A 13,021-nucleotide genomic window follows, 5' to 3' on the forward strand; every position below is an offset into this window, starting at 1 on the left:
TATTCCTCATAAATCATAATTTAATTGGAAACAAATCAATTTTGTGACCAATACTTAAAATTTGATATAATTCCAATGGCTCCTAAAAACTATGGACTCACAAACTAGTTTTAAAAAAAATTAGATACTTTTTAGAAAAGTTTTAAATTTACAGAAAAATTGAGAAGATAGAGAGTTCCCACATACCCTCCCACAGTTTCCCCTATTATTAATATATTAGTGTGGTACCTTTGTTACAATTAATGAACCAATATTGATACATTACTACTAAAGTCCTTAGTTTATTCAGATTTCCTTTGCCTTTGTTTTTTAACCTGTTTTTTTTTTTTCCTGTTTCTAGAATTCTATCCAAGACACATTACATTTAGTTGTAATGTCTCCTTAGGTTCCTTTTGGCTGTGACAGCTTCTTAGACTTTGCTTGTTTTTGATGATCTTGTCAGCCTTGAGTCATTACTATTCAGGTATTTTGTAAGATCTCCACAAGGGGAATCTGTCTGATAGTTTTCTCATGGTAAGACTAGGGTTATGGGTTATCAAGAGGAATACCAGAGAGGTAAAGTGCCATTTTCATCATGTCACATGATATCAAGGGTATGTACTATCAGTGTAATTTATGACTGTTGATGGTAATCTTAATCACCTGGCTTAGGTAATCTTTGTCAGGTTTCTCCACTGTAAAGTTACTCTTTTTGTCCCCCATACTTTTCCTTTGGAGGGAAGTTGCTAAGTGCAGCCCATGCTTATGGAGTGGAGATTTATACTTCCCCTCCTTGAGGGTGGAGTATCTACAAAAATTATTTAGAATTCTTCTGCATATTTGTCTCTTAACTCACATTTATTAATTTAATCATCATTTAAATCAATATAGGCTCATGGATATTTATTTTATACTTTGGGTTATAATCTACTTTGGGTTATTATACTTTGGCTTGTGTATTTCAAGTATGTAATACTTCAAAATTTTTTTTTTCTCAAATTGTTCTACCTTTGGTCATTGGGAACTCTTTCAGTTGGCTCCTCTGTCCCTTCAACACACTCCAATTAATGTAGGTTTTTTTTTTTTTTTGGCTGTGTGTGTGTGTGTGTGTGTGTGTGTGTGTGTGTGCATTTTGAGTACTTCCTTACTTATTGGCATTATAAGGTGCTCCAGGCTTATCTTCTATATTTCCTGTCCCCGTCCTAGAATCAGCCATTTCTTTTTTTTTTTAATTTTATTATTATTATACTTTAAGTTTTAGGGTACATGTGCACAATGTGCAGGTTAGCTACATATGTATACATGTGCCATGCTGGTGTGCTGCACAGAATCAGCCATTTCTGTGAGAAGCCCTGGTCCCCTTCACTGGAGAATGGTATTAAAAACCAAAATCTGGGCACTAAGTGTACATAAACTAATTTTTAATAACACCAAGTGAGCATATATATTATGGTACTTAAGAGTCCAAACTCCCCTAATTCTTAACTGAGATCTTACTATGAGCTCATCTTGGGGGATCCAAATGATGTTCTTCAATTCTAGATATAGCAATATCCTAAAAACCTCTAGATACTTCATCCCTTTAAATTTAACTGTGTACTGAAGTTGGACACGAAAGAATCTCTGAACACTTCAGAAAAAAGTTTTTAAACAGAATCTCGCAATCCCTAATGACTAGATAGCAAGCTAGGTAAAGCAGTCTATGTACGTATTTTCCTGACAATTAATATTAAGACAAGATACAATTACAGAAGATATTTTTTCAAATTAAAAATGCTTAAAATTGAGAAATGCCTTAAAGAAAAATGAAAAATATTTTAATATTTAGGTAAATTGCTCAAAACGAAAGCCATAAACGATTGTGCTTCAGGGGCAAAAAAAAAAAAAAAAAACTATTAACAAGTTAGCTCAGGAAACTGGAAAGTACAAACTAATCACAAAGCTTTATGATAAATTCCATCATTTAGTAATGTCATGGTAATTTCACATAATTAAAAAATATAATATTTTTAAGTTAATGGTAAAGGTTTTATCACTTCCTCTCCATCTCTGTCAAAACTACATACTGATCTGAGCACAGTGATTTAAACCTAGCACCCTCATTCTATGTCAGAACAGAATTTTGAGTGGGCGTTTTTAAGCCAAGAGTGGTTGGGGTATTGCCCATCTGAGGCATCCCTAGAGGTTATCTGTTGGGCAAACTAATCAAAATGGGTAAATGTTACTGGGTACCAGGAAAAAAACCAAAAGTTGGATTTGAGTAGACCTACACTCTTTTAAATGAAAAACTTTCCATTACTTGTAACAAAGTGGCGTTAATTTTATAGATGTGCTTAGCCCACAGAAGCTTTTAACATAGTTACAAAAATCAATATGCTTATCTTTATAATAACCAAAATACAAACTCAATCCCAGGTTAAATACTAGAAGGCTTGGGTTTAATTCTCACCTATTTTCCTTAACTAACTGAGGAAAAAATTGACTTTTCTATGTTTTGTTCTACTCCATGGAATTTAGAGATAGCTCCATTTAGTATTAATGTAAAAATAAAGTCTTCAAATAATAAATAGCATTTAGATGGTGGAAAACTCCAGTAATAAGAGGAAACTTAATTTTTTAACCTCATTTCCCTCCAAACTAAATACCATGAATTCTTACAAGTATTTTTTGAATCAGTTCAATTAAATCTTTTTAACAGCTTAAATGTCATCTAACTGATCACTCCCATGCTCAAAACCCTCCAATGATTTTCCATCTGAGTCGGGAAAGGTCAAAGTTTTAGGTCCTACATAATTGGCTCTATTTACCTCTCAGACTTCCTCTAATTCCCATGTCTCACTCCACCCAGACTCTACTTCAGACTTGCTCCTTATGTCAGGCCCTTTGCCTGTACTATTCTCCTAGTAAGTAGTTCTTCCCCCAAATCTTCATGCCTCATCTGATTCAAATGTTTGTTTAAATAAATATCCCCTTCTAATGAACCTTTATAAACCACATTGTGAAAATAGCAACAGTCCTCCATCCCTAATACCAATATCTTCTCATTCTCACATTTTTCTCCGTTGTCTTCCACTGTCTAAATTTCACACCATAAGATTTATTTTTTTCATCTAACTTCTCATTCTACCATAAAGCTCAATGAGGAAAGGGATTTTTGTATTTTGTTCACTAATCCAGGTAGTGTTTAGAATAGTGACAGGCACATAGTAAGTACCCCATAAATATCTACAAAATTGAAACCAATACTTCATTTAAATTAGAAACTTAATCTGTTCTTCACATGTGGGTTTTAAAATTAGAATAACATTTAAAGTCTAATTGATATTTCAAAAAATAAACTATTACATACAAATTATTTCAGTAAATAAACATATTTTGACTGTGGCTAGTATGCCGATATTGGAAATATAAAGTCAAATAATGGTCCTTACCCTCAATGAACTTCAGCTGCACATGGTGGACAGAAAAATTGAAAAGAATTAACTACAGTAGTGTGAGATGGTATAAGAAAGATCTCTAACAAAGGGTATTAGAAGAGCAGAGATACACGAAATCAGGTAAGATGGCATTAACAGGGAATGCTGATCACAACTGGTCAAGCTTAAGCTGACTTTTGGGGGTGGAGCCAATATGGCCGAATAGGAACACCTCCAGTCTACAGCTCCCAGCGTGAGTGATGCAGAAGATGAAAGATTCCTGCATTTCCAACTGAGGTACTGCGTTCATCTCACTGGGGATTGTCAGACAAGGGGTGCAGGACACTGGGTGCAGCACACCGAGCGTGAGCCGAAGTAGGACGAGGCATCACCTCACCAGGGAAGCACAAGGGGTCAGGGAATTCCCTTTCCTAGCCAAGGAAAGGGGTGACAGATGGCACGTGGAAAATCAAGTCACTCCCACCCCAATACTGCACTTTTCCAATGGTCTTAGCAAACAGCACACCAGGAGATTGTATCCTGTGCCTGGCTTGGAGGGTCCTACGCCCACAGAGTCTCGCTCATTGCTAGCACAGCAGTCTGAGATCAAACTGCAAGGCGGCAGCGAGGCTGGGGGAGGGGCGCCTGCCACTGCCGAGGCTTGAGTAGGTAAACAACACAGCCGAGAAGCTCCAACTGGGTGGAGCCCACTGCAGCTCAAGGAGGCCTGCCTGCCTCTGTAGACTCCACCTCTGGGGGCAGGGCATAGCCAAACAAAAGGCAGCAGAAACCTCCGCAGACTTAAATGTCCCTGTCTGACAGCTTTGAAGAGAGTAGCGGTTCTCCCAGCACGCAGCTTGAGATCTGAGAACCGACAGACTGCCTCCTCAAGTGGGGCCCTGACCCCTGAGTAGCCTAACTGAGAGGCACCCCCCCGTATGGGCAGACTGACACCTCACACGGCCGGGTACCCCTCTGAGACAAAGCTTCCAGAGGAACGATCAGGCAGCAACATTTGCTGTTCACCAATATCCGCTGTTCTGCAGCCTCCGCTGCTGATATACAGGCAAACAGGGTCTGGAGTGGACCTCCAGCAAACTCCAACAGACCTGCAGCTAACGGTCCTGACTGTTAGAAGGAAAACTAACAAACAGAAAGGACATCCACACCAAAACCCCATCTGTACGTCACCATCATCGAAGACCAAACGTAGATAAAACCACAAAGATGCGGAAAAAACAGAGCAGAAAAACTGAAAATTCTAAAAAGCAGAGCGCCTCTCCTCCTCTAAAGGAACGCAGCTCCTCACCAGCAATGGAACAAAGCTGGACGGAGAATGACTTTGACGAGTTGAGAGAAGAAGGCTTCAGACGATCGAACTACTCCGAGCTAAAGGAGGAAGTTCGAACCCATGGCAAAGAAGTTAAAGACCTTGAAAAAAGATTGGACAAATGGTTAACTAGAATAACCAATGCAGAGAAGTGCTTAAAGGAGCTGATGGAGCTGAAAACCACGGCACGAGAACTACGTGATGAACGCACAAGCCTCAGTAGCCGATTCGGTCAAGTGGAAGAAAGGGTATCAGCGATGGAATATCAAATGAATGAAATGAAGCGAGAAGAGAAGTTTAGAGAAAAAATAATAAAAAGAAATGAACAGTCTCCAAGAAATATGGGACTATGTGAAAAGACCAAATCTACGTCTAATTGGTGTACCTGAAAGTGACGGGGAGAATGGAACCAAGGTGGAAAACACTCTGCAGGATACTATCCAGGAGAACTTTCCCAATCTAGCAAGGCAGGCCAACATTCAAATTCAGGAAATACAGAGAATGCCACAAAGATACTCCTCGAGAAGAGCAACTCCAAGACACGTAATTGTCAGATTCATCAAAGTTGAAATGAAGGAAAAAATGTTAAGGGCAGCCAGAGAGAAAGGTCGGGTTACCCACAAAGGGAAGCCCATTAGACTAACAGCTGATCTCTCAGCAGAAACTCTACAAGTCAGAAGAGAGTGGGGGCCAATATTCAACATTCTTAAAGAAAAGAATTTTCAACCCAGAATTTCATATCCAGCCAAACTAAGCTGCATAAGTAAAGGAGAAATAAAATCCTTTACAGACAAGCAAATGCTGAGAGACTTTGTCACCACCAGGCCTGCCCTAAAAGAGCTCCTGAAGGAAGCACTAAACATGGAAAGGAACAACTGATACCAGCCACTGCAAAAACATGCCAAATTGTAAAGACCATCAAGGCTAGGAAGAAACTGCATCAACTAACGAGCAAAATAACCAGCTAACATCATAATGTCAGGATCAAATTCACACATAACAATATTAACCTTAAATGTAAAGGGGCTAAATGCTCCAATTAAAAGACACAGACTGGCAAATTGGATAGAGTCAAGACCCATCAGTGTGCTGTATTCAGGAAACCCACCTCAAGTGCAGAGACACACATAGGCTCAAAATAAAGGGATGGAGGAAGATCTACCAAGCAAATGGAAAACAAAAAAAGGCAGGGGTTGCAATCCTAGTTTCCAATAAAACAGACTTTAAACCAACAAAGATCAAAAGAGACAAAGAAGGCCATTACATAATGGTAAAGGGATCAATTCAACAAGAAGACCTAACCATCCTAAATATATATGCACCCAATACAGGCGCACCCAGATTTATAAAGCAAGTCCTCAGAGATCTACAAAAAGACTTAGACTCCCACACAATAATAATGGGAGACTTTAACACCCCACTGTCAACATTAGACAGATCGAGACAGAAAGTTAACAAGGATATCCAGGAATTGAACTCAGCTCTGCACCAAGTGGACCTAATAGACATCTACAGAACTCTCCACCCCAAATCAATAGAATATACATTCTTTTCAGCACCACACCACACCTATTCCAAAATTGACCATATAGTTGGAAGTAAAGCACTCCTCAGCAAACGTAAAACAACAGAAAGTATAACAAACTGTCTCTCAGACCACAGTACAATCAAACTAGAACTCAGGATTAAGAAACTCACTCAAGCCGGGCGCGGTGGCTCACGCTTGTAATCCCAGCACTTTGGGAGGCCAAGGCGGGCGGTTCACAAGGTCAGGAGATTGAGACCATCCTGGCTAACATGGTGAAACCCCGTCTCTACTAAAAATACAAAAAATTAGCCGGGCGTGGTAGCAGGTGCCTGCAGTCCCAGCTACTTGGGAGGCTGAGGCAGGAGAACGGCGTGAACCCAGGAGGCAGAGCTTGCAGTGAGCCAGGACCTTGCCACTGCACTCCGGCCTAGGTGACAGAGCGAGACTCCGTCTCAGAAAAAAAGAAAAAAAAGAAACTCACTCAAAACTGCTCAACTACATGGAAACTGAACAACCTGCTCCTGAATGACTACTGGGTACATAATGAAATGAAGGCAGAAATAAAGATGTTCTTTGAAACCAATGAGAACAAAGATACAACATACCAGAATCTCTGGGACACATTCCAAGCAGTGTGTAGAGGGAAATTTATAGCCTTAAATGCCCACAAGAGAAAGCAGGAAGATCTAAAATTGACACCCTAACATCACAATTAAAAGAACTAGAGAAGCAAGACCAAACACATTCAAAAACTAGCAGAAGGCAAGAAATAACTAAGATCGGAGCAGAACTGAAGGAAATAGAAACATTAAAAGCCCTTCAAAAAATCAATGAATCCAGGAGCTGCTTTTTTGAAAAGATCAACAAAATAAATAGACCACTAGCAAGACTAATAAAGAAGAAAAGAGAGAAGAATCAAATAGATGCAATACAAAATGATAAAGGGGATATCACCACCGATCCCACATACATACAAACTACCATCAGAGCATACTATAAACACCTCTATGCAAATAAACTAGAAAATCTAGAAGTAATGGATAAATTCCTCGACACATACACCCTCCCAAGACTAAACCAGGACGAAGTTGAATCTCTGAATAGACCAATAACAGGCTCTGAAATTGAGGCAATAATTAATAGCTTACCAACCAAAAAAAGTCCAGGACCAGATGGATTCACAGCCGAATTCTACCAGAGGTACAATGAGGAGCTGTTACCTTTCCTTCTGAAACTATTCCAATCAATAGAAAAAGAGGGAATCCTCCCTAACTCATTTTATGAGGCCAGCATCATCCTGATACCAAAGCCTGGCAGAGACACAACAAAAAAAGAAAATTATAGACCAATGTCCCTGATGAACATCGATGCAAATATCCTCAATATAATACTGGCAAACTGAATACAGCAGCACATCAAAAAGCTTATCTACCATGATCAAGTGGGTTTCATCCCTGGGATGCAAGGCTGGTTCAACATAGCAAATCAATAAATGTAATCCAGCATATAAACAGAACCAACGACAAAAATCACATGATTATCTCATAAGATGCAGAAAAGGCCTCTGACAAAATTCAACAACCCTTCATGCTAAAAACTCTCAATAAATTAGGTATTGATGGGACGTATCTCAAAATAATTAGAGCTATCTATGACAAACCCACAGCCAATATCATATTGAATGGGCAAAAACTGGAAGCATTCCCTTTGAAAACCGGCACAAGACAAGGATGCCCTCTCTCACCACTCCTATTCAACATAGTGTTGGAAATTCTGGCCAGGGCAATCAGGCAGGAGAAGGAAATAAAGGGTATTCCATTAGGAAAAGAGGAAGTCAAATTGTCCCTGTTTGCAGATGACATGATTGTATATCTAGAAAACCCCATCGTCTCAGCCCAAAATCTCCTTAAGCTGATAAGCAACTTCAGCAAAGTCTCAGGATACAAAATCAATGTACAAAAATCACAAGCATTCTTATACACCAATAACAGACAAACAGAGAGCCAAATCATCAGTGAACTCCCATTCGCAATTGCTTCAAAGAGAATAAAATACCTAGGAATCCAGCTTACAAGGGATGTGAAGGACCTCTTCAAGGAGAACTACAAACCACTGCTCAATGAAATAAAGGAGGACACAAACAAATGGAAAAACATTCCATGCTTATGGGTAGGAAGAATCAATATCGTGAAAATGGTCATACTGTCCAAGGTAATTTATAGATTCAATGCCATCCCCATCAAGCTACCAATGACTTTCTTCACAGAACTGGAAAAAACTAAAGTTCATATGGAACCAAAAAAGAGCCTGCATTGCCAAGTCAATCCTAAGCCAAAAGAAAAAAGCTGGAGGCACCATCCCACCTGACTTCAAATTATACTACAAGCCTACAGTAACCAAAACAGCATGGTACTGGTACCAAAACAGAGATATAGATTAATGGAACAGAACAGAGCCCTCAGAAATAATGCCACATATCTATGACTATCTGATCTTTGACAAACCTAACAAAAACAAGAAATGAGGAAAGGATTCCCTGTTTAATAAATGGTGCTGGGAAAACTGGCTAGCCATATGTAGAAAGCTGAAACTGGATCCCCTCATTACACCTTATACAAAAATTAATTCAAGATGGATTAAAGACTTACATGTTAGACCTAAAACCATAAAAACCCTAGAAGAAAACCTAGGCAATACCATTCAGGACATAGGCATGGGCAAGGACTTCATGTCTAAAACACCAAAAGCAATGGCAACAAAAGCCAAAATTGACAAATGGGATCTAATTAAACTAAAGAGCTTCTGCACAGCAAAAGAAACTACCATCAGAGTGAACAGGCAGCCTACAGAATGGGAGAAAATTTTCGCAACCTACTCATCTGACAAAGGGCTAATATCCAGAATCTACAATGAACTCAAACAAAGTTACAAGAAAAAAACAAACAACCCCATCAACAAGTGGGCGAAGGATATGAACAGACACTTCTCAAAAGAAGACATTTATGCAGCCAAAAGACACATGAAAAAATGCTCATCATCACTGGCCATCAGAGAAATGCAAATCAAAACCACAATGAGATACCATCTCACACCAGTTAGAATGGTGATCATTAAAAAGTCAGGAAACAACAGGTCCTGGAGAGGATGTGGAGATAGGAACACTTGTACACTGTTGGTGGGACTGTAAACTAGTTCAACCATTGTAGAAGTCAGTGTGGCGATTCCTCAGGGATCTAGAACTAGAAATACCATTTGACCCAGCCATCCCATCACTGGGTATATACCCAAAGGATTATAAATCATGCTGCTATAAAGACACATGCACACGTATGTTTATTGCGGCACTATTCACAATAGCAAAGACTTGGAACCAACCCAAATGTCCAACAATGATAGACTGGATTAAGAAAATGTGGCACATATATACCATGGAATACTATGCAGCCATAAAAAAGGATGAGTTCATGTCCTTTGTAGGGACATGGATGAAGCTGGAAACCATCATTCTCAGCAAACTATCACAAGGACAAAAAAACAAACACCGCATGTTCTCACTCATAGGTGGGAATTGAACAATGAGAACACACGGACACAGGAAGGGGAACATCACACACCGAGGCCTGTTGTGGGGTGGGGGGAGGTTGGAGGGATAGCATTAGGAGATATACCTAATGTTAAATGACGAGTTAATGGGTGCAGCACACCAGCATGGCACACGTATACATATGCAACAAACCTGCACGTTGTGCACACGTACCCTAAAACTTAAAGTATAATAATAAAAAGAAAAGCTGACTTTTGAAATAAAAAGCAAGATCAAAGGAGGAGGGAGAAAAACATGGAGGAAAATGAGATGACAGATTTGAAGGATTCTTAACTGGTATACTGGGCCTCAAGTACCGGGTATATATATGTCGGGGTAACTGGGAAATAAAGCTAGAAAAGTAGGCAACAATTCGAGCAGGAAGGATCTTACAAGGAGGGCCAGAGTTTGAATTTTGTCCCCAACGCTAGGGGAAACAACTGAAAAATTTTAAGTAATGAACAGGGAACTAATAGTAACTTTAGTTGTATAATAAGCAAATTCACAGGAAGCTGTCAATATGCTATTAAGAAAACTTATATAACTACCATGACAGTATGTTGAAATACTGAAGAAAAGAAATTCCTTTTATTCCTGGAAAAAATTCAAAAGTGGGTTTTCATACAAACAACAAAATCTCATTTTAAAATTTTCTCTATGCCTCAGTTTTCTCAACTATAAAATGAAGATATTAACAATATTTTGCTGGGCTTGGTGGCTCATGTCTGTAATCCCAGCACTGTGGGAGGTCAAGGTGAGTGCACTGCTTGAGCCCAGGAGATCAATACCAGTCTGGGGAACATGGCGAAACCCCACCTCTACAGAAAAAAAATACAAAAATTAGCCGGGCATGGTGGCATGTGCCTGTAGTCCCAGCTACTTGGAGGCTCAGGTGGGAGGATCTCTTGAGCCTGGGAGGTCGAGGTTACAATGAGCCGTGACTGCGCCACCGCATTACAGCTTGGATGACGAAGTGAGACCCTGTCTTGAAAACAATAACAAAAATAGCAACAAAAAAAACCCCAAAACCAATATCTCCTATGATTTTTGTGAGGATTAAATATGTGAATATCCTCAAATGGCTTAGAACACTGCCTGGTATGTACCAAGTGTTCAGTAATGCCAGCTATTATTACTCTTATTATTAGTATCCTGGAATAATTAAAGTTGTTAAGTAATAAGCTCTATATTTCCAAATACAGCAAATACACAAAAAATGAAGTGTAACTAAACAGGGTTTCATGGTGGACAGAAAGAAGCTTACTTAAGTATATATTACAGAAAAAACAAAAAGCCAAGATAATTCTTGAACTCTTGACCTCAAGTGATCAGCCTGCCTCAGCCTCCCAAAGTGCTGGGATTACAGGTGTGAGCCACCACACCTGGCCCCAAGATAATTCTTAATTTCAGGCTTTATATAATTTTTGGAAAGGGATATATATTCAGTATCTGAGGTTGTTAAAGACTATCTTTAAGGAAACTCAAAGAGTTTCAGAACTTTCTAGTTTGGTTGTAATTTTGGGGACTCTACAATATTGAATGTGACTTTTTACATAAGGTCTACGAGCTGTTTTTCCGGATATTATGTAGGCAAGAAAGAACACTTTACATGAGTTTTCTCATTTGATCCCAACAACTATAAGGCAGATAGCTTTAGAATCCTCAGTTTTGAATGAGTGAACCAACAAATACATTAAAAAACTTGTCAAAGATAAGAGGCTAATAAGAGGTTGGACTCAAAAATCCATTCTTTTAACCAATACAGAATCTCTAGCAATTAGAAGAAAACAAAAAGACAAAAAGTTGGGACCACAGAGACATTCAGGATTTTAAAATCCTCTTGTTCTTCATAACTAAATTTCTTGAAGCTCTTTATTCTGATTAAGATATGTCATATTTATTTTTGCAGGCTACTAAAAGAAGTTCCTTTAGACTGAGACATTCAAACAGAAAACTGGGTTCTAAAGCATATGTGAGGATAGCAAAAAAATTCTGATAATAGTTGGCATCTTCTTGCATGTTATTACAGTCATTAATACCAACAATAAATATACATTAATTTTCAGAGGTTTAAATTCCATTAAAAAACATTTCAGAGAAGGGACCTAAGCTCAGTCACTCCTACTCTGTAATGGTAAATTCATTTGGACAGAGGCTGAATTCATTTTCTCCTTCCTAACTGGTAGTGACCTAATAATAAAAGAACATATACAAGTTGATAAATGTGTGAATATAGTGACAACTGCATACATTAAAAATCATTTATTGTAGAAACAACATCAGAAGATGAATGAATTATTGTCAAAATTCAAATATCTACTGGTCAAATTTGGTCAAATACAAATATCTACTGAATGACGGTTATGTACCAGACATTATACAGTAAGCACCCAATATAGCAACGAGGCTGTGTGCAGTGGCTCACACCTGTAGTCCCAGCACTTTGGGAGGCCCAGGTGGGCAGATCGCTTGAGCTCAGGAGTTCTAGATCAGCCTGGGCAACATAGCCAAATTCCATCTCTACACAAAATATAAAAATTAGCCAGGTGTGGTGGTGTGCTCCTGTAGTCTCAGGTACTTGGGAGGCTGAGGTGGGGGGATTGCTTGAGCCCAGTAGGTCAAGGCTGCAGTGAGCTATGATCACACCACTGCACTCTGGTCTGAGCAACAAAGTGAGACCTTTTTTTTGAAACAGAGGCTCGTTCTGTCACCCAGGCTGGGGTGTAGTGGCGTGATCTTGAGACCTTGTCTCCCCCACCACTGCCCAAAAGAGAATATAGTAATGAATAAGACAGATAAAAATTCCACTCTTGCACTCCCATGGAGCTTATGCTCTAGTGGGGAATGTGGAAAATTAAAAATAAAAATATGTTGAGGGGGAAGCGTAGGAGGAGGGAGTGGAGCAGAAAAAATAACTATTGGGTACTGAACTTAATACCTGGGTGATGTAATAATATGTACAACAAACCCCCATGACATGTGTTTATCTACAAACCTTCACATGTACCCCCACATCTAAAATTTAAAAAGAAATGTATAATTTATGAAAAAAGTAGTAATTGTTATGAAGAAAAAATAAACCAACATAAGAGTCTAGTAACTAGAATAGGAATGTTATTTAAGGTAAAAATTTGGCCAAAGAGAAAGTCATGGAGGTATTAATAAAGTGAGATGAGTACATAATA

The 13,021-nt window shown here is 38.9% G+C and overlaps 1 protein-coding gene across 27 annotated transcripts in view; it reads right to left on the reverse strand.

The window, feature by feature from the left end:
* The window catches only part of EVI5 (ecotropic viral integration site 5), a 283,715-nt gene that overhangs the window by 76,840 nt on the left and 193,854 nt on the right, over positions 1-13,021 (reverse strand). The window lies entirely within an intron of this gene.

This window comes from Homo sapiens, chromosome 1 (genome assembly GCF_000001405.40).
Source record: "Homo sapiens chromosome 1, GRCh38.p14 Primary Assembly".
Taxonomy (NCBI): Eukaryota; Metazoa; Chordata; class Mammalia; order Primates; family Hominidae; genus Homo; species Homo sapiens.